The following is a 21918-nucleotide window of genomic DNA, read 5'->3' as shown; positions in this document are numbered from 1 at the left end:
GGCAGCTCATGCCTGTAATCCCAGCACTTTGGGAGGCCGAGGTGGGTGGATCAGCTGAGGTCAGAAGTTCAAGACCAGACTGGTCAACATGGTGAAACCCCGTCTCACCTAAATATACAAAAATTAGCTGGGCGTGGTGGTGGGCACCTGTAATCCCAGCTACTCAAGAGGCTGAGGCAGGAGAATCGCTTGAACGCGGGAGGCAGAGGTTGCAGTGAGCCGAGATCACACCATTGCGCTCCAGCCTGGGCAACAAGAGTGAAACTTCGTTCCAAAAAAAAAAAATTGCTAGTCTGCATTACAAAAACTACGCATGTCTTATACAGGTTTAAGAGCAGAAATACCAAGTACATGCCAGGCGCAGTGGCTCACTCCTGTAATCCCAGCACTTTGGGAGGCTAAGTCAGGTGGATCACCTGAGGTCAGGAGTTCCAGACCAGCCTGACCAATATGGTGAAACCCATCTCTACTAAAATTACAAAAATTAGTCCAGTGTGGTGACATGTGCCTGTAGTCCCAGCTACTTGGGAGGCTGAGGCAGGAGAATCGCTTGAACCTGGGAGGTGGAGGTTGCAGTGAGCAGAGATTGTGCCACTGCACTCCAGCCTGGGTGACAGAGCGAGACTCCAACTCACAAAAAAAAAAAAAGAAAAGAAATACCAAGTGCTTACTATTTGCTTTGCTTTGTTTTGCAATGATAACTCAGCAATATCTGATGCCCAAGAGCGGAAATACCATTTTTCCTACAGTATATGAACACAAGTCCTCAATTATATGTATGAACAGCAGTAACAAAACAGGAATGTAGCCCTTTAGAAAAAAAACAGAAATGTGAAGAGAGTCAGATTTTAACTTAAACCAGCAAAGGTATAGAAACTCTAACATTTGTTACCAATAAAAACCAAGGACAAGAGCTGGCAAAACACACCTTGCTTAACACATTAGTCTGCCGGTTCCCTCTGAAGTGATACCTGAACCTCTTCTGAAGAGGAGTCAGCATAACCTGGATGGGCAGGATGACAGAAGGGGAGGCAGGAAGAGAGTATTTTTCTGGGAGTTGCTTTGGCTCAGTAAGTAATTCATCTCTGACATAATCAAGTCAAGGAAAAAGAATCAAAAGCATACCTAATATACACACACATATGTATGTATACACACACAATAAATTTTTCCAACAAATGTATCAGATACTCAGTAGAGTTAATTATGATGCAAATAATATGTAACCTAATTTTATATTGAATAAACATACAGTTAATTCTTTATATTGAATATACATTCAGTTAAAATGCACAAAAAGCCAGGCATGATGATAGTGAATCATGCCTGTAATCCCAGCACTTTGGGAGGCTGAAGCAGGCTAATCACTTGGGCCACTTCACAGGAATTTGAGACGTGCCTAGGCAATACGGCAAAACCCTATCTCTACAAAAAACAACAAAAATTAGCGGGGCATGGTGGCACGTGCCTGTAGTCCCAGCTACACAGGAAGAAGAGGTGGGAGAATCAACTGAGCCTGGGTGGTCAAGGCTGCAGTGAGCCATGACTGCACCACTGCACTTCAGCCTGGGTGACAAAGTGAGACCATGTCTTTAAAAAAAGCACAAAAATGAGCCAGGTGCAGTGGCTCTCACCTGTAATCCCAGCACTTTGGGAAGCTGAGGCGGGTGGATCACCTGAGGTCAGGAGTTCGAGGCCAGCCTGACCAACATGGAAAAACCCCGTCTCTACTAAAAATACAAAATTAGCTGGGCATAGTGGTGCACGCCTGTAATCCCAGCTACTCGGGAGGCTGAGGCAGGAGAATCGCTTGAACCCGGGAGGTGGAGGCTGTGGTGAGCCGAGATCATGAGATCACGCCACTTCATTCCAGCCTGGGCAACAAGAGCGAAACTCCATCTCAAAAAAAAAAAAAAAAAAGCACAAAAATGGTATTAGAATTAATCTATAAATCTTTCCTAAAATAGTAACAAAAAAAATTCAAGTATCATTTGATTAAATTCACGCTATGACACTAAAGGTTTCCTCCCAATTGCCCATTTGTTCTGTTGCCCCAAGAGACCTTTTTGTGCTATGAACTTGGATCAGTCATGTATCCCGGAACTCTTCCTTACAGCCCTCACACCTACAAGCAATTCACTTTGCAAGAGTACAGTCCACCACTCAGTGGACATTTACAGACCAAGTCCAAACACAGGATTCTTATTTGGCTTTCTTGGCCACTTTGAAAAAGTTTTACTCTCTAGCCACAAACCCATTCTAGAAAAAAGAAATTTTAGTAAGTTTTCAGCTGCAACAAAGATACGAGGTTTGTAGTTTCAAAAGCTGACAAAACAGTGTCTCCAGGTAACTGTATATCTCCGGGGCACTGGCAGGTCGACTTAAGCCAACAGTTTGTGATTGAGGGGGTGCGATGAATGGCCAATGAAGCTGTGCTAAAATTTCCTCAAAATCACTGCAATGGAAAAGTAACACATACATTTCAGTACATCACCAAATGATCACCAAATACCCATCGGAAAGCAATTACCACAAAATATGGGTAAATTCCCTACCTTGTAAGCTTGTCCTTGAGAATTTTATGCCAGAATTTAACTGTGGCTCTCATGAAACCAAGAAGATGAGTACAAGATGATTCCTGAAGTTTAATGTCAAGTTCTGCCATAGACACTAGAGTGGAGGCTGCCTCCGGTACATTATTGGTCATCAGATATTGCTGAATGTTATCACTGTAAACAAAGTAAAGCAAATTTTTTTTTCTTTTGAGACAGAGTCTCACTCTGTTGCCCAGGTTGGAGTGCAGTGGCATGATTTGGCTCAATGCAAATTCTGTGTCCCAGGTTCAAGTGATTCTCCCGCCTCAGCCTCCACAGTAGCTGGGATTACAGGCATGCGCCCCCATGCCTGGCTAAATTTTTTGTATTTTTAGTAGAGACAGGGTTTCACCATGTTGGCCAAGCTGGTCTTGAACTCCTGACCTCAAGTGATCCGACCGCCTCGGCCTCCCAAAGTGCTGGGATTAGAGGCGTGAGTCACCGTGCCCAGCCGAAAGCAAATTTAAAGAACGGATTGCTCAGAATAATTTCAAATTCGGAAAAAGTGCTTCTTCTTCATGTTTTATATAAAGTTACATCCAAGGAAGAATGAAGCACCACCCTGAGGTAGCCTTTGTTTTTTAACAAAGCACCACCCTGAGGCCTTTTACCAAGGCCTCTCTGGGAGCCTAGAGTCCTCTACTTCTGCATTCTTCTAAGAGCAGCAGCCTGCAGCCTATGTTCAAGACCTCTCCCGGGACCTTTCCCTTCCTACTCCTCCTGACAGACCTGTTTTGTGTCATATTCCTTTGGGCACCACTCATTTCTGATAAATCTGCCTTTTACAAAGTCTTCAGTATCTTAATCCAAGGGAATAATGTGGTAGTATCTGGTAAAGTCAAGTATGATGGTCTTCAATTGTTACATACTTTGCCCAGCTGAACTTGATTTCCCACTTCAAAGAAATATAATTCCAGGCGGGGCTTGGTGGCTCAACCCTGTAATCCCAGCACTTTGGGAGGCCAACATGGGTGGATCTCCGGAGGTCAGGAGTTTGAGACCAGCCTGGCCAACTTGGTGAAACGCCCCCCGCCCCCCCTTCCCCATCCCCCATCTCTACTAAAAATATAAAAACTAGCCAGGCATGGTGGTGGGCACCTGTAATCCCAGCTACTCGGGAGGCTGAGGCAGGAGAACTGCTTGAACCCGGGAGGCGGAGGTTGCAGTGAGCCAAGATCATGCCACTGCACTCTAGCCTGGCAACAGAGTGAGACTCCGTCTCAAAGAAAAAGAGGCCAGGCGTGGTGGCCTCTTTGGGAGGCCAACATGGGTGGATCACCGGAGGTCAGGAGTTCGAGACCAGCCTGGCCAACTTGGTGAAACCCTTCCCGTCTCTACTAAAAATATAAAAACTAGCCAGGCGTGGTCATGGGCACCTGTAATCCCAGCTACTCAGGAGGCTGAGGCAGGAGAATTGCTTGAACCCAGAAGACAGAGGTTGCAGTGAGCTGACAGGGTGCCGCTGCACTCCAGCCTCAGCAACAGAGTAAGACTCCATCTCAAAAAAAAAAAAATATATATATATATATACAAATATTACAGAAGAATTTCAAATGTACAAACAGAATATGAGTACTGCCTTTTTTTTTTTTTTAAAAGAGTCTCACTCTGTCACCTAGGCTGCAGTGCAGTGGTACAATCACGGCTCATTGCAATCTTAACCTCTCGGGGCTCAAGCGATCCTCCTACCTCAGCCTCCCGAGTAGCTGGGACTATGGGTGCTCACCACCAAGCCTGGCTGATTTTTTTTTTTTTAAACAGAGATGGGGTTTTGCCATGTTGCCCAGACTGGTCACAGAATTCAGAGCTCAAGCGATCTGCCCACCTCAGCCTCTCAAAGTGCTAGGACTACGGCATGAGCCACCATGCCCGGCAGGAGTACTGCTTTTAAGGAAGGAATGAAATAGATTTCCTCACAACACTAAAGTATGAATGACATTTACAACATAGGAAAAGCTAGAGAAACAAGGTTCACTCAGAGTGATAGTGCTATACTATAGTATCCAAGAAACAGAGCTAATGTAAGGATGCTAATTCTAGCAAGAAGAAACTACTTGAAAAAAAGACAATGTACATCAGAATAAAAATAGGCCATTATAAAAAAATTTAGAGATGAAGAAAATCCCAGAAGCTCTAAAGGAAAGCTGGAAATGGAGAGATTATCATAAAAGACCTCAGGGAAATAACACATTATTAAAGACAGAAAAATAACTGTGCTCTACCTGCTTATGAATTTGATCCCTATTTCTAATATAAATCCCTCGGCATATTTCCCTTATAAACAATTCAGATATCTGAAGAGTTTATCAAGGCCAGGTGCAGTGGCTCACACCTGTAATCCCAGCACTTTGGGAGGCCAAGGCAGGCAGATGACTTGAGGTCAGGAGTTCAAGACCAGCCTAGCCAACATAGTGAAACCCTATCTCTACTAAAAATACAAAAATTAGCTGGGCGTGGTGGCATACACCTGTAGTCCTAGCTACTCGGGAGGCCAAGGCAGGAGAATCGCTTGAACCCGGGAGGTGGAGGTTGCAGTGAGCTGAGATTGTGCCACTGCACTCCAGCCTGGGCAACAGAGGAAGATTCCAACTCAAAAAAAAATAAAAAGAAAATTAAAATAAATAAAATAAATGTTAAAAAAAAGAAGAAAAAAGAAAAGTTTATCAATAACCATGGACCTAATTTAGTTAATCTATTACTTTGGCTACTACAAGAGTGAGGTTTTCAAATAACGTATTTTACTTAATAAAGTTATTAACATTGCCCCTTACTGATATTTCCTTTCTGAGGGACAAGGAGAAATGCAGTAAAATAAAGCAAGGTTTAAAATTCCTTCACTGCAAATAATTTATCTAAACAAGAATGAGATGTTCTAAACCACTTTATATGTAAAACTCCTCATACATGCAAAACAAAGTTTTTTTGTTTTTTTTGTTTTTTTTTTGAGACGGAGTTTCGCTCTTGCTGCCTAGGCTGCAGTGCAATGGCACAACCTCAGCTCACTGCAACCTCTGCCTCCCGAGTCCAAGCAATTCCCCTGCCTCAGCCTCCCAAGTAGCTGGGATTACAGGCACGCGCCACCATGCCTGGCTAATTTCTTTTTTTTTTTTGTATTTTTAGTAGAGACGGGGTTTCACCATGTTGGTCAGGCTGGTCTCAAACTCCTGACCTCGTGATCTGCCCGCCTCGGCCTCCCAAAGTGCTGGGATTACAGGTGTGAGCCACTGCACCTGGCCTAAAAACAAAGATTTCTATATTATATTGATATGTAAAATTCTTTAAAATTTTGGGAAATATATGCAAGAAAAAGAAATACATAAAACATATCCATAACAAAAGTAATATCAGGTTTATTAACTATGATACATTTGAAACAGGACATTAAGACTCCCAGAAGACTTTTCTCCCTCAGGTTTTCCAGGCAAAATTAATGGTTGCTGACAGCTCTGCAGCAAGTACTAGTTAAAACAATGCAAGGATAGTGGGGACCTTATCATCTACTAATCTAGGTGGAAATGTTACTTTGGGTTGTCTGAAAGGCAAAGCTAGATACAATTAACTACCAGTGATAGGTATTCAACTCAAAAAGAACTAAGGTCAAGCCTTACTTCCTTTTTTGTTTTTCCTACCCAGAGGTAGCAGAACTCTTGTTATTCATCCAAGAATACTGTGTAGCTCTTATGATTCCCACTGAAAAATATTCAAATTATACAAAAGCAATCCATTTCATTAACTGACCAGTTCTAAAAATTAAATAAGAATAACTATTACCAAACTTTGTGTTTTATTAATTTGGCATTACAAAGAATAGTTTTTATCATGTGTTCATAATCCAACTGTAAGACTTAAAAGTTTGGCCGGACGCGGTAGCTCATGCCTGTAATCCCAGCACTTCCAGCGGCCGAGGCTGGCGGACAGTGAGGTCAAGAGATCGAGACCATCCTGGCTAACATGGTGAAACCCCGTCTCTACTAAAAATACCAAAAAAAAAAATTAGCCAGGCATGGTGGCGGGCGCCTGTAGTCCCAGCTACTCGGGAGGCTGAGGCAGGAGAATGGCATGAACCCGGGAGGTGTAGCTTGCAGTGAGCCGAGATGGCACCACTGCACTCCAGCTGGGCGACAGAGCGAGACTCCATCTCAAAAAAAAAAAACTTAAAAGTTTAACGTACTTACATTACCTTCTTTCAAATGCTAATTAAGCTCCCTGAAAAGCTTATGTTCACTCACAATAAAGGAAAAGAATCATTATCATAATGCTATTTTCACAACAACTGGTAAAATTATATTATTATAATCTTTAATTAACTCAATTATTTAATGGCACACATGTACTCTCTAAGACAGAAGCCTCAAAGGAAAATAGTAATTGTGAGAACAAAGAGGCCCATTTTACCTTAGTTCTTCAATTTGTGAAATCCATTTAAGGTAAGCAAGATGACGTTCGATCTCTTCAATCTGGCTAATCATGGTTCCAAGATCGTCCATCCAAGGTTGCGCAGTCAGCAAATGGCTGTTAATGGCGCTGAAGAGATGAGTTTCCTGCTCCAGAAACTGATTAAGAAATTGCTTTGATTCTTCTGCATTTTTTAAGGCACTTCGAATTCTTTTAGGAATTTCTGATGAAATTGTAAGTACCTGACCATAATTTTAAAAAAGAAAGAAAGAAAGAACAGCAGCAATCAGATAAAATTTTCATAATTTTTTTTTTGAGAGGGGATCTCACGCTGTTGCCCAGGCTGGAGTGCAGTGGTACCATCATAGCTCACTGCAGCCTGGACTTCCTGGGCTCAACCAATCCTCCCACCTCAACCTCCCCAGTAGTTGGGACTACACATATGCACCACTACACCTGGCTTTTCTTTTTTTTTTTTCTTTAAATAGAAATAAGGTCTCACTATGTTGCCCAGGCTGTATGTAACCTTTTTTATTAGTTCGTTCCCTTCAAAATACACATTTTTTGTAACAGAACTGAAAATCATCCATCAAAACCTTCAAAAAAAGGTTTGATTTCTTCATCCTGTACTAATCAATCCAAACATAACATGCTGTTTTATATACACACAAATAGCAGGAAGAAGTATGCCTTTGTGTTGAAAACAATAAGTGAAACAAAAAAATAAAAATAAAATAAAAAATATATGCATACATACATATACACATACATGTAGAGAAAGGGACTTAACTCACTGGCTCCAGTAAGCATCTAGAGGTCTGCCTCCATAGGCTCAGCAGAGGATCCAGCTAGAGAAAACTTATTTTATTTTTTTGAGACAGAGTTTCGTTCTGTCACCCAGGCTGGAGTGCAGTGGCGTGATCTCAGCTCACTGCAACCTCCACCTCCCGGGGTCAAGTGATTCTCCTGCCTCAGCCTCCTAAATAGCAGGAATTATAGACACGTGCCATCACGCTCGGCTAATTTTTGTATTTTTAGTAGAGACGGGGTTTCACCACGTTGGTCAGGCTGATCTCGAACTCCTGACCTCATGATCCGCCCACCCCAGCCTCCCAGAGTGCTGGGATTACAGGCATAAGCCACCGTGCCAGGCCGAGAAAACTTATTAATACATGCTCTACCTGCTAAATATTTTCCTTCAAAGCAAAGGAAGGGCCGGGCACGGTGGCTCACACCTGTAATCCCAGCAGTTTGGGAGGCCAAGACAGGCGGATCATTTGAGGTCAGGAGTTCAAGACCAGCCTGGCCAACATGATGAAACCCCATCTCTACTAAAAATACAAAAACTAGCCAGGTTTGGTGGCACACACCTTGTAATCCCAGCTCTAGAGAGGCCAAGGCAAGAATCACTTGAACCGGGAGGAGGTTGCAGTGAGCTGAGACTGCACCACCGCACTCCATCCAGCCTGGGTGACAGAGCAAGACTCCTCAAAGAAGAAAAAAAAAAATGCAAGCTGGGTGCGGTGACTCACACCTGTAATCCCAGCACTTTGGGAGGCCAAGGTGGGTGGATCACAAGGTCAGGAGTTCAAGACCAGCCTGGCCAAGATGGCAAAATCTTGTCTCTACTAAAAAATACAAAAAAATTAGCTGAGCATGGTGGCACATACCTGTAATCCCAGCACTTTGGGAGGCTGAGGCAGAGAATTTCTTAAACCCGGGAGGCAGAGGTTGCAGTGGGCCGAGACTGCGCCACTGCCATCTAGCCTGGGTGACAGAGCGAGACTCCATATCAAAAAAAAAAAAAAAAAGGAAACAAAGATCTCATTCTAACAGGCTGAGCATCTATATTTTGCCAACATACCCCAGGTGATTCTGAATTAAGGCCAGGCTAAGAAGCACTGACTTGATGAGATGATATCCAGGCAATGCCTTTAGAAAGGGCATTTAGTGGCCAGGTGCAGTGGCTCACACCTGTAATCCCAGCACTTTGGGAGGCCAAGGAGGGCAGGTCACTGGAGGTCAGGAGTTCGAGACCAGCCTAGCCAACATGGTGAAACCCTGTCTCTACTAAAAATACAAAAATTCAGCCGGGCACAGTGTCTCATGCCTGTAATCCTAGCACTTTGGGAGGCAGAAGCTGGTGGATCACTTGAGGTAAGGAGTTTGAGACCACACTTGCCAACATGGTGAAACCCCGTCTCTAATAAAAATACAAAAACTAGCCGGGTGTGGTAGTATGAGCCTGTAATCCCAGCTACTCAAGAGGCTGAGGCAGGAGAATTGGTGAAACCAGGAGGCGGAGGTTACAGTGAGCTGAGATCGCTCCACTGCACTCCAGCCTGGGCGACAGAGTGAGACTCTGTCTCAAAAAATAAAATAAAATAAATACAAATACAAAAATGAGCTGAGGATGGTGGCGCATGCCTGTAATCCCAGCTATTCAGGAGGCTGAGGCAGGAGAATCACTTGAAACCCGGAAGGCAGAGGTAGCAGTGAGCTGAGATCACACCACCACACTCCAGCCTGGGCGACAGAGGAAGACTCCATCTCAAAAAAAAAAAAAAAAAGAAAATGGCATTTATTAAGTGAATTTTTCTTATAGTATGTGGGAAAACATATACAAATATTAGTCATCAGCAAAATACAAAGAACATTATAGAATAATTTCAATCAACAGTGATTAGATACTTATTCTGTACCAGGCACTGCGCTAGAAATATGCAGATAAACAAGACACAGCATCCGTCCTTCAGGTCACTTTGGTATATAAGAGTGTTGTAAGCAAATAATTTCAACAGTGGGATTAATGCAATAAAATAGACAGGCTATATTTAATGAATGGGCACATTAATCACCTAAAGATCTTGTTGTAATACAGATTCTGATACAGTAAGTCTGAAGTAAGACTGAGATTCTGCATTTCTACAAAGCTCCCAATCTGCCTAAACTAACATGGTATCAGCAAGAGTGGGAAAGATGGGCCGGGAGCAGTGACTCACGCCTGTAATCCCAGCACTTTGGAAGGCCAAGATCCACTTTCGGGCAGATCACCTGAGGTTGGGAGTTTGAGACCAACCTGACCAACATGGAGAAACCCCATCTCTACCAAAAATACAAAATTAGCCGAGCGTGGTGGCACATGCCTATAATCCCAGCTACTTGGGAGCCTGAGGCGGGAGAATCACTCGAACCCAGGAGGTGGAGGTTGCAGTGAGCCAAGATTGTGCCATTGCACTCCAGCCTGGGCAACAAGAGTGAAACTCCAACTCAAAAAAAAAAAAAAAAAAAAAAGAGTGGGAAAGATGGGATGGATACCAGAGATGTTGAGGCTGAACTCAGATGACTTGGTGATGGGATAGAGGATGAGAGGATGATAAGAAGGAATCTAGGACTCCTAGGCTTCAGGTCTGGGTGACAGGCAAATAGTGGTGCCATTATCTAACCAAGACAGACAAGCCTCTAAAAAATGGATCAGTATAGTTTTGGACATGCTGAATTTAAGGTTCAATAAGGAACTTCAGTAAAAGTTTCTGTGGTCATTAGGGAAACAAACCTGATTACAGTGGGTAAAAGATGAATGACAAAAAGTAGAGATAGATAACAAAGGTTACTTTCTGAAGCCTGACAATCAAAGGAAAGAACTAATACCTGCTAAAAGATCATGGGTTTTTTTGTTTCTTTGTTAAGGTTTTATGGAAAAGACCTGTCTATGTGCACATGCTGAAGGGATAGGACTGGTTGACGAACACAGGGTAAAATTATAAGAGTGACACAAGTTTACTGAGGTGGCAGAGAGAACCTGGGGTATAAGGTCTGCCTTCGACTGATCCTTTGCTGAATGAAGAGGTTAAAAATGACTGCACATAAATTTGTCGATTGTGGGATAGACTATTCAACAGACTGAATTCAATGCTACTAAATTCATGCTAGGCTTCTATTTTTTTCTGCTAGGGAAAAGGAAAGGGCAGAATGGACAGGTTGGGTAGATGTCTCAAACAGAATCTGAAAGAACAGTTGAGGGGAGTAGCAGAGGAGCTGACGTTCCCATGGAAGGACTGCTGGTGGGGCTGAAGACTCAGCCAGGGTGGCAGACCACACACATAGATTGGCATCAATCTACTCAGCTGCATGACTTCCTCCAACTGGGCCCACAACAACCTGCCTGCAGGAGTGAAAAGGCAGACAAAGCCAGGCTAAACTTGAAGACTAGCAGTAGTTGTGGTGGGAAGACAGGAAGGTGTGGAGGCCTAAGGTAATGGGGACAGGAGAATATACGATGACCAAAAACCTGGAAATAACCCACACAGAATTTACTTAACCTAATTTAGTAGCTATATGATAAAAATGTTTTATCTTGGCCGGGTGTGGTGGCTCATGCCTGTAACCCTAGCATTTTGGGAGGCCAAGGCAGGCGGATCACGAGGTCAAGGAATCGAAACCATCTTGGCCCAAGTGGTGAAACCCTGTCTCTACTAAAAATACCAAAATTAGCTGGGCGTGGTGTCGCGTGCCTGTAGTCCCAGCTACTCGGGAGGCTGAGGCAGGAGAATCACTTGAACCCAGGAGGCAGAGGTTGCAGTGAGCCGAGATCACGCCATTGCACTCCAGTCTGGGCGACAGAGTCAGACTCCGTCTCAAAAAAAAAGAAAAAAATGTTTTATCTTTGACAAACACACCATTGCCAAGTAGAGGGGCCTACTTATTTTTTTGTTTAAGCTTATACTCATTGGGTTTTTAAAAAATTATTTTAAGTGATATGTTCATTGTAAAAGAAAAAAAAACCTATAAATACATAGAAATATATATTTTTGAGACGGAGTGTCACTTTTGTTGCCCCGGCTGGAGTGCGATGGCATGATCTCAGCTCACAGCAAACTCCGCCTCCTGGGTTCAAGCGATTCTCCTGCCTCAGCCTCCCGAGTAGCTGGGATTACAGGTGCCCGCCACCACACCTGGCTAATTTTTTTTGTTGTATTTTTAGTAGAGTCGGGATTTCACCATGTGGGTCAGGCTGGTCTCAAACTCCTGACCTCAGGTGATCCACCTGCCTTGGCCTCCCAAAGTGCTGGGATTACAGGTGTGAGCCACCGTGCCAGGCCTAAAAATATTTTTTAAATACATCACTTGTCAACCAACCACACAGAAATAACCGTTACGTTATACTTCTTTTCACTTTATACTTCTCCCTATGGGTACATTTATTAAAATCTGAAATGTGGCCGGGTATAGCAGCTCACATCTGTAATCCCGGAACTATGGGAGGCCAAGGCAGGTGGATCACCTGCGGTCAGGAGTTCAAGACCAGCCTTGCCAACATGATGAAACCCCATCTCTACCTAAAATACAAAATTAGCTGGGCAGGGTGACACATGCCTGTAATCCCAGCTACATGGGAGGCTAAGGCAGGAGAATTGCTTGAACCTGGGAGGCAGAGGTTGCAGTGAGCCAAGATGGCGCCATTGTACTCCAACCTGGGCAACAAGAGCAAAACTCCGTCTCAAAAAAAAAAAAAAAAAAAAAATTGAAATGATGGTGTTTACACCATGGTATATATTTTTGTATGCCATGAAATTATTTGCTTGTAAAAGCAATTTAAAAGTCACTGTATGTTCACTAGAAACAGATTGAAAGGAAAAAAAAGTCACTCTATGAAAATCTATGTAAAATGTTAGGTCTCACTATGTTTTGAAGACAAACCATATCAGTAGGAACTTTGTCTTTTACCTAATTTGTAAAATAGGTAATACAATGTACGTTCTTAAATCCTCTTAAACAGTATATAATAGACTATTTGTCACGTTCTATATCTTTAAAATTCTATATATAATAGATTATGTTTATATTATATTGTTAAAAGTATTCCACTGATAATTATTTCAGTGAGTTTCAATACTTACCTGTTCTTCTAACTGCATTTTACTTACTGTCCTCTGTTCTATGAGTTTATCAAGTTTCTTTAAAGATTTAAGGTCATTTCCAACTTCCTTTTCTATGAATGCAGACACATAAGAAGGGAGATCACCATTATCTGTACCTTCACTGACTTGTTTACTTCCAATAAGAACTGTAACATTTATGTCACCTACAACAAAAGAATAACAATTACTCAACGCCACTAAGTACTATGGAGTTAAAGAAAATATAAAACATATAAAAGCAGTTTATCTGCCTTCAAAAGTTAATAATTTTGCCAGGCACGGTGGCTCACACCTGTGATCCCAGCACTTTGGGAGGCTGAGGCAGGTGCATCACCTGAGGCCAGGAGTTTAAGACTAGCCTGGCAAACACGGCGAAATCCCGTCTCTACTAAAAATACAAAAATTAGCCAGGCGTGGGGGCACAGGCCTGTAGTCCCAGCTATTCGGGAGGCTGAGGCACGAGAATCCCTTGAACCCAAGAGGCAGAGGTTGCAGTGAGCCAAGATCACACCACTGCACTCCAGCCTGGGCGACACAGACAGACTCTGTATCAAAAAACAAAACCAAAACAAAGCGCCACTGCACTCCAGCCTGGGCGACAGAGACTCTGTATCAAAAAACAAAACCAAAACAAAACAAAGTTAATAATTTAAAGAACAACACACACAGACAAATGCCCAGAAGAATAGCTCTAAAGCACTCTATCAAACAACTACTGCAAAATGCTTAAGAGCTGAGGGAAGTATTAAAGGAAAAATTCCTAAAGTGTGATCCAGTAACCACAGGTTTCAATAGACAAGGAATAATACCTTTTCAAAATGTGTAAGGAACCAGTAGTATGGTCTAGGGCAACACCAAAAGAAGACTCTTGTTTTAAAGTGTTTTTAAAAAGACCGGGCGCAGGGGCTCACACCTGTAATCCCAGCACTGTGGGAGGCCAAGGCAGGAGGATCACTTGAGCCCAGAAGTTCTAGACCAGCCTAGGCAACAAAGCAAGACTTCATCTAACAAAATTAGCCAGGAATGGTGGAACACACCTGTAGTCTCAGGTGGGCTGAGGTGGGAGGATTGCTTGAGCAGCCTGGGAGATGGAGGCTGCAGTGAGCCATGATCTCACTACTACATTCCAGCCTGGACAGCAGAGCAAGACCTCATCTCTTAAAAACAAACAAACAAACAAACAAAAAAGTAAAAAAGGTTTGGCTGGGCGAGGTGGCTCAGGCCTGTAATCTCAGCACTTTGGGAGGTTGAGGCAGGCAGATCACAAGGTCAGGAGTTCGAGACCAGCCTGGCCAATATGGTGAAAACCTGTCTCTACTAAAAATACAAAAATTAGCTGGGCATGGCGGTGCACGCTTATAGTCCCAGCTACTCGGGAGGCTGAGGCAGAAGAATCGCTTGAACCCGGGAGGCGGAGGTTGCAGTGAGCCGAGATCACGCCACTGCACTCCAGCCTGGGCAACAGAGTGAGACTCTGCCTCAAAAAAAAAAAAAAAAAAGGTTTTTAAGCTTCAAATGTCATCGATGTCATTGTACAAAGATATCTTTGTCAGAAACAGAAAAAAGAAAATATGAGAGAACAAATTACTAGGAAAAAATCAAAATGACAAATGCAACCACTAAATAGTATAAAGTGAGATTCTTTCCATGGCAAATAAACTACCTGTTTTGTGACATTTAATAAGTCCAATACACATTAGGCTTATTAATATTAATATCTAAATAATGATATGCCTAAGTGCAAAATGTAAATGTCAGATATTGGTCAACTATTTATGTAAAGATTAACAGAATATATACCAATGTTTTATACAGAGTATGTTCCTGTCTCCACCCCTACACCCCAACAAACAAAATTTCCTTTGTTCTACTTAACTTATATGAATTAAATTAAAAGATTTTTCACATGCTGTGAGAATCAGGAGGTGGTACTGACCTTTTCCCCCTTTCCTGTTCAGTGCAAGATCCAGAACCCAAGCTATACATTGTGCCTTCCCAGAGCAATTTTAAATTGACAATTTAGAGGGTAGGAGAGGCAATATTAACATAACACTATGCCTCAATTTTCCAACTAGAAAACAAATTGTAACATTTGCCCCAGCCTATATCTCAAGGTTATAAATGGGACTATATAATACAAATTATATATTAATTATACTATATAATTATATATAATATTAACGTATAATAATCTACTATTATGTACAGAACTCACAATGCCTTTTTTAAATCTTAAATAAAACAAGTGATTTGTGTGGTGTATCTGCAGATAAATGGAGGCAGGAAATGTTTTGTGAATGCTAAAGTTGCTGTATCTTAGGGAGGAAATTCTACCTTCATTTTTTAAAAAAAATTACACCCACTGAGCACAGTGGCTCATGCCTATAATCCCAGCACTTTGGAAGGCCGAGGACGGTGGATTGCCTGAGGTCAGGAGTTCAAGACCAGCCTAACCAAAATGGTGAAACCCTGCCTCTACTAAAAATACAAAAATTAGCCGGGTGTTTGGCGGGCACCAGTAATCCCAGCTACTGAGGAGGCCGAGGCAGGGGAATTACTTGAACTCAGAGGCGGAGCTTGCAGTAAGGCGAGATCGCGCCACTGCACTCCAGCCTGAGAGACAGAGTGAGACTAAGTCTCAAAAAAAAAAAAAATTACACCCTTGATGTGTAACCATTCAAATGTGGCATAGTACATTCTTAGTGAAATGACATTCTTCAAAATGACACACCGGTGGTTTGGGAGGTTTTTATGTGTCTCCTTTTCTATTTTTTGTAAAGAGCACTCCTAACTGCAAAGCAGTTTGAGCTGTGGAAAGAGGAACAAGGTCAAAGTCCTTGATATGATAGTCTACATCTATTATTTTATTAAAATGACAGCTCAGTAGGCATCAGACTACTTTCCAGGCATCTGAATGAGGCAAAGGTGGAAAATGGAAAGGGAAGGGTTTAACTGAGAGATACAAGGCACTCTGAAATCCTTCAAGAAAAAGGAGCTGAGATGTGGCAGTTATGACAGTCATGTGCTATGGACTGCTCAGAGCCTTCTTTCTGAGGCAGATTCTATCAGCCGCTAATGTTAAGGGCAAATCTTACTCCTAAGGGCCATGTGCTAATGTGGGCACCGTTTTTCTTACTGCTACACATTCCCAACTGTTTGCCACAGTCAAAAGAACCAAAAATCCCAATAGCAGAGCTATCACATGCTTTTCCCCTTCCTCTCCCAAAAAATGTCACTTCAAAGGTCCCTAAAGAGCCCTTGATTTGCAATAACCTGCCATCAAAGTAAAATGGCAAAAGTCCACAACCCTGACATATACTCCCGTACTAGGGAGGAAATGGTGGTACTGACCTTTTCCCCCTTTCCTGTCCAGTCCAAGATCCAGAACCCAAGTTATCCGTTGTGCTCTTGCCAGAGCAATTTTAAATTGCCAATTTACTGAAGGTGAACTAAACAACTGTCATTTGCCTCCTTTGAACCCAATTAGGGTGGTGGTCGTCTGTCCTAGATCATGGGCCCCTCCAAATTCCTGATGCTTAGTAAGTTGATGTTTCATTAAAATGACAGGCAGGCCCCAATTATTCTGAGTACTGTATGATAGGCAGACTTCCAGCGAAAACACTCTAGTCCCTGTACTAGGTATGGATCGGGAAGTGCTCTTCTCCAAAGCATCCCATATTTTACAATTTTAGAAAGACAAAAATATGTGTATCATGGTCATCAGTATTACCATATAAGCATATTGTGCAGAAAACGGTACTGCATCTAAAAGATAGGCAAAGAACCTTTCTATATTGCAGACCCTGGAAGGCTGAGTTTGGGCGGGAAGAAAAAGCTAAGGTGTTTGGAGCTGGCTTACTTTTCTCCTCGAGGTTCTTCCTTTCGTCACCACTTTCAGAGCAGCACTAGAAGAAGAACAGATGTGACAAGCACATTAAGATTAAAGTCGTGGATGGAAAGCATACGGGGCTCCCAAAGGGCACCCACTGGAGGCAAGAGAGGTTCCAGACGCTCTCCCACTTTCTGAGCGACCAGGGCCGTCCGAATCAGGTACCTCAAAGTGCCACTGTCCTGGTGCCACCGCCACCTTCCCAGGAGGTGTGTGTCACCTCCGCAGGACCTGGAGTTACCTTGCCTGCTCACTAGAGCCACCTCCCTAGAGAAATCTGTCATCTCACCAGGGCCGCCAAAGCCACTTCACGGGGACTACCGCCTCCTCTAGGAGGTCTTACAAGGGCCTCTAATCTAAGCCGCAGGAAGCACCTTCACAAGCTTACAGGGCCACCGCACCGGGACTATCTCCCCCGGGAGGTCTGTGCCACCTCAATGGGCCACCAATGTCCCCTCCCAGGGACGCCAGGGCCGTCTCACCGGGGCTGCAGGAGAGGCGCCGATCTCGCCGGCTGGTAGCATCTCGCCTCCGCGCGAGTCCTCGGCTCCATTCGCAGCCAGCGTGGCCTGTGGAGTCTGGCTAAGGCCAGCGACACACTCACTACCCAGCCTCGGAGGCCGTAGGACTGAGTGCCACAGCGACTTCCTCTCGATGTCTCACTGGTTTCTTCCTCTCAGCCCAGAGAGGCCCTGCCCGTGCAGCCGCCGGCCGTGCTCTGTTCCTCCCCCTCCTGACCGGAGGTCGGAACGGCCACTCAGGAAGCGGGCACCCTCCCCTATGGAGCTCCAGAGAAGGGATTCGCTCACTCCACCGCGGTAAAAGTCCCCTCCACTTTATTGAAGCTCTTAATGATGGAACTTTAAGATATCCCTCTCCCAACGCCTTAAATTCAATATGAATAATTTAAATTTATATTTTAGGCAATATCCAGATGTTCTGAGAGTGTGGGGGGCTTGTTGACTAGGAGCTTCGGTGCAGGGTTATTTGGTTCGAATATTTAGTTGGGGGTTTCCAATGAATGTCAGTATCTTTAGATATTTCTTTTAACGTTGGTCAGAGTCCCTAGAGATGAGCTTCTGATTTCCTGCCTAGAGGGTGTAGAGGTGGTTATAAGCGTTCTGGGAGCTGAATGAAGAGAACAGAGCATCTAACATGTGTTTCGCCCAAAACCCTGTCTTTTACCAGGGAGGAGGAAAGGGAGCTACCTAGCAGCAAGGGTTGTGTAGAGGACCTGTGGACTTGACAGCCTCTTAAACAAACTAACACGGAAGGAGTACCATAGAGACCATAACAAACAAGGGGGGGGGAAAGCAACCCTCAGAGGAAAAAGAAACCACACGGTGAGAAGAAAAATCAAATACATGTGCACAGAGATATATAATCGAGCTACAAATTACTATTGCAAGCATAAAACAAGGATGGCTGGGCGCTGTGGCTCACGCCTGTAATCCCAGCACTTTGGGAGGCCGAGGCAGGCAGATTACGAGGTCAGGAGATCGAGACCATCCTGGCTAACATGGTGAAACCCCGTCTCTACTAAAAATACAAAAAATTAGCCAGGCGTGGTGGTGGGCGCCTGTAGTCCCAGCTACTCAGGAGGCTGAGGCAGGAGAATGGCGTGAACCCGGGAGGTGGAGCGTGCAGTGAGCAGAGACCGCACCACTGCACTCTAGCCTGGACGACAGAGCAAGACTCCGTCTCATTTAAAAAAAAAAAAAAAAACAAGGATACTATTTTTTAAATTACCTATTATGGGAACATAATCGTATATATTTATAGTGTACATGTGTGTTTGTTTTTTTTTTGCTCAGGCTGGGGTGCAATGGCGTTATCTCTGCTCGCAGCAACCTCCGCCTCCCAGGTTCAAGCGATTCGCCTGCCTCAGCCTCCCAAGTAGCTGGGATTACAGGCATGCACCACCACGCCCGTCTAATTTTGTATTTTTAGTAGAGACGATGTTTCTCCATGTTAGTCAGGCTGGTCTCGAACTCCCGGCCTCGGGTGAACTGCCCGCCTTGGCGTACCAAAGTGCTGGGATTACAGGTGTGAGCCACTGCGCCCGGCCTTTTTTTCTGGGGCGGGGCGGGGGACGGGTAAAGAAATTTTAATGAGGATTCAAGGTTTGTAGGGAAGACACAGAGGACCGGCGCTCAGCCCCAGCCTCCTCACGTGTACATGGCTCCATGGAGGTTCTCCAGTCGGTTCTGCTGCTGCTGCTGTTTTCGAGCCTTATCTCGTCTGTGTTCCTCATAAGTGTAGTCATCAGTGGGCAGCTCATGGCGGCACAAGGGACAGGAATTTGTCTTGCTTAGCCAGGGCAGAATGCAACTGGAATGAAAAAGGTGTTGGGAAGCATCTCAATGGCAGTCTCCTCCTCAGATTCCAAAAGATACACGGGGCACTTGAGCTCAGCCTTGAGAGCCTCTGATGACTGTCCTGGAGAGGTTCTCAACCACAATCTTGGCAGCCGGTGGAGGCAGGTGGTGGTCCCAATCTACTACCAACCCCAAGTCTTCAAAGTCCATCCTATTCAAAAGTGACCTTACGAGCTCCAGCACCATGTTGGTTCGAGTCTCCTGCTTGAGGGTCCAACGGCTCACAGTCGTGTTCATCGATATAGGACGCCATGGCTGCCCAGCCGTCTGACATGTGATGTTTTGATACAGGTATACAATGTGTAACTATCAAATCCGAGTAACTGGGGTATTGATCATCTTGAGAATTTATCATTTCTTTGTGTTAGGAACAGTCCAATTCCACTCTTTTAGTTATTTTAAAATATGCAATAAATTATTAACTGTAGTCACTCTGTTTTATTGTTGTTGTTGTCGTCATTTGTTTTGGTTTTGGTTTTTTTGTTTGTTTTTTGAGACAAGTTCTCCCTCTGTTGCCCAGGCAGGAGTGCAGTGGTGCAGCCATAACCCACTGTAACCTCAAACTCCTGGGCTCAAGGGATCCACCCACCTCAGCCTCCTGAGTAGCTAGGACTATAGACTGGCACCACCATTCCTGGCTAACTTTTTTTTGTTGAGACAGTGACTCGCTATGTTGCCCAGGCTGGGCTCTACTCCTGAGCTCAAGCGATTCTCCTGTCTTGACCTCCCAAAGTGCTAGGATTACAGCCATGAGCCACTGCACCTGGCCCCTAACTGTATTTTTGGACCCATTAACCATCCCCAATTTATGCCTTCCTCCCTGCTACCCTTTCAGCCTTTGGTAACAATCATTCTACTCTCTATCTCCTTGAATTCAATTTGTTTAATGTTAAGCTCCCACATATGAGAGAAAAGGATACTATTTAAAAGGAGCATTGGCTGGGCACGGTGGCTCCTGCCTGTAATCTCAGCACTTTGGGAGGCTGAGGCAGAACAAATTGCCTGAGGTCAGGAGTTCAAGACCAGCCTGGCCAACATGGTGAAAGCCTGTCTCTACTAAAAGTACAAAAATTAGCCAGGCCTGGTGGTGGGAGCCTGTAATCCCAGCTACCCAGGAGGCTGAGGCAGGAGAATCTCTTGAACCCAGCAGGCAGAGGTTGCAGCGAGCCGAGATTACACCACTGCACTCCAGCTGGGCAACAAAGCAAAACTCTGTCTCAAACATAAATAATTAAATAGATAAATAAATGAATAATAAAAGGAGCACTCACTTGTAAATGGGGAGGGTAAAAATAAATAAAATAAGAAAAGCATTCAGAGATGAAAAAATATGACAGCAGAAATTAAAATTTCAAGAGTGGAAAGATAGGCCAAGTGCAGTGGCTCACGCCTGTAATCCCAACACTTTGGGAGGCCAAGGCACGTGGATCGCTTGAGGCCAGGAGTTCGAGACCAGCCTGGCCAACATGGTGAAACCTGGTCTCTACTAAAAATACAAAATATTAGCTGGCCATTGTGGCACGTGCACCTATAGTCCCTGCTGCTTAGTAGGCTGAGGAACAAGAATTGCTTGAACCCAGGAGGCTTTTAATTTCTGCTGTCATATTTTTTGTTCTCTGAATGCTCTTTTTATTTTATTTATTTATTTTTATCCTCCCCATTTTCACAAGTGAGTGCCCCTTTTATTATTTATTATTTGTTTGTTTGTTTCTTTGAGACAGAGTTTCGTTCTGTTGCCCAGGCTGGAGTGCAGTGGCACGATCTTGGCTCACTGCAACCTCCGCCTCTGGGGTTCAAGTGATTCTTCTGCCTCAGCCTCCCTAGTAGCCAGGATTACAGGTGCCCGCCATCATGCCCGCCTAATTTTTGTATTTTTAGTAGAGATGGGGTTTCATCACATTGGCCAGGCTGGTCTTGAACTCCTGACCTCAGGTGATCTGCCCACCTCAGCCTCCCAAAGTGCTGGGATTATAGGCATGAGCCACTGTGCCTGGCCTTTTCTTTGTTTTGTTTTGTTTTTTGCTTTTTTTTCCTAGAACATTTATCAACATTTATCTTCCCACACTTTGTTTGTTTGTTTTTATTTTGAGACGGGGTCTCACTCTGTCACCCAGGCCGGAGTTTATTGGCAAGATCTTAGCTCACTGCAACCTCTGCCTCCCAGGTTCAAGTGATTCTCCTGTCTCAGCCTCCCAAGTAGCTGGGACTACAGGTGTGCACCACCACACCTGGCTAATTTTTGTATTTTTAGTAGAGATGGGGTTTCACCATGTTGGCCAGTCTAGTCTCAAACTCCTGACCTCAAGTGATCTGCCCGCCTCAGCCTCCCAAATTGCTGGATTACAGTTGTGAGCCACCACGCCTGGCCAAAAACTGGAATTCTGTACTTAATTAGTGAACTATGAATCAAATGTGAGGTTAGAATAAAAATGTGGGGTTTTTTTTAACACTCTTGTAGTCAAGAATAAAAATAGACATTAAAGATCTCAAAAAATTTAGCTTTTGTTTTATTTATTTATTTATTTATTTATTTATTTATTTATTTATTTGAGACAGAGTCTCACTCTGTCACCCAGACTGGAGTGCAATGGCACGATCTTGGCTCACTGCAACCTCTGCCTCCCAGGTTCAAGCAATTCTCCCGCCTCAGCCTCCCGAGTAGTTGGGATTACAGGCGCCCACCACCATGCCAAGCTAGTTTTTGTATTTTTAGTAGAGACAGGGTTTTGCCATGCTCAGGC

General features: G+C 44.0%; 1 protein-coding gene and 1 pseudogene across 10 annotated transcripts in view, besides 6 other annotated features; both read right to left on the bottom strand.

The window, feature by feature from the left end:
* The window catches only part of RINT1 (RAD50 interactor 1), a 35477-nt gene extending 18039 nt beyond the window's left edge, over positions 1-17438 (bottom strand). For 3 of the 10 annotated variants that reach the window (NR_144478.2, NM_021930.6, NM_001346600.2), the window contains exons 1-7: positions 17282-17438; positions 16770-16815; positions 12890-13074; positions 6990-7231; positions 2556-2729; positions 2306-2455; positions 929-1085 (exon numbers count right to left, since the gene is read on the bottom strand). Coding sequence is in view for 5 of the 10 variants with exons in the window: in NM_021930.6 (NP_068749.3) it covers positions 929-1085; positions 2306-2455; positions 2556-2729; positions 6990-7231; positions 12890-13074; positions 16770-16815; positions 17282-17323 (996 nt within the window). In the remaining 5 variants the exon portion in view is untranslated. Of the gene's footprint in view, positions 1-671; positions 811-928; positions 1091-2305; positions 2456-2555; positions 2730-6989; positions 7232-7783; positions 7913-12889; positions 13075-16769; positions 16816-17281 lie in introns of those variants that run through there. The other 7 variants (NM_001346601.2, NM_001346599.2, XM_047420686.1 and 4 more) reach the window with 7 other exon arrangements.
* Positions 16666-17242: an enhancer, noted in NCBI's record as "H3K27ac hESC enhancer chr7:105172844-105173420 (GRCh37/hg19 assembly coordinates)". NCBI's record gives its function as "activates a minimal SCP1, AML or CMV promoter by ChIP-STARR-seq in primed H9 embryonic stem cells {active_cell/tissue: H9 hESC(primed)}" and the evidence as "EXISTENCE:reporter gene assay evidence [ECO:0000049][PMID:30033119]".
* Positions 16666-17267: a biological region, named in NCBI's record as "H3K27ac hESC enhancer GRCh37_chr7:105172844-105173420".
* Positions 17088-17267: an enhancer, noted in NCBI's record as "active region_26465". NCBI's record gives its function as "activates an Ori minimal core promoter by ATAC-STARR-seq in GM12878 lymphoblastoid cells {active_cell/tissue: GM12878}" and the evidence as "EXISTENCE:reporter gene assay evidence [ECO:0000049][PMID:35858748]".
* Positions 17243-17820: an enhancer, noted in NCBI's record as "H3K27ac hESC enhancer chr7:105172266-105172843 (GRCh37/hg19 assembly coordinates)". NCBI's record gives its function as "activates a minimal SCP1, AML or CMV promoter by ChIP-STARR-seq in primed H9 embryonic stem cells {active_cell/tissue: H9 hESC(primed)}" and the evidence as "EXISTENCE:reporter gene assay evidence [ECO:0000049][PMID:30033119]".
* Positions 17358-17657: an enhancer, noted in NCBI's record as "active region_26464". NCBI's record gives its function as "activates an Ori minimal core promoter by ATAC-STARR-seq in GM12878 lymphoblastoid cells {active_cell/tissue: GM12878}" and the evidence as "EXISTENCE:reporter gene assay evidence [ECO:0000049][PMID:35858748]".
* Positions 18108-18157: an enhancer, noted in NCBI's record as "active region_26463". NCBI's record gives its function as "activates an Ori minimal core promoter by ATAC-STARR-seq in GM12878 lymphoblastoid cells {active_cell/tissue: GM12878}" and the evidence as "EXISTENCE:reporter gene assay evidence [ECO:0000049][PMID:35858748]".
* On the bottom strand, positions 18894-19449 carry LOC100131785 (ring finger protein 181 pseudogene; annotated as a pseudogene).

The sequence above is a fragment of the Homo sapiens genome, chromosome 7 (assembly GCF_000001405.40).
Source record: "Homo sapiens chromosome 7, GRCh38.p14 Primary Assembly".
NCBI lineage: Eukaryota > Metazoa > Chordata > Mammalia > Primates > Hominidae > Homo > Homo sapiens.
Note: the sequence above shows the minus strand (reverse complement) of the source record. Positions and strands in the feature narration are given on the sequence as shown.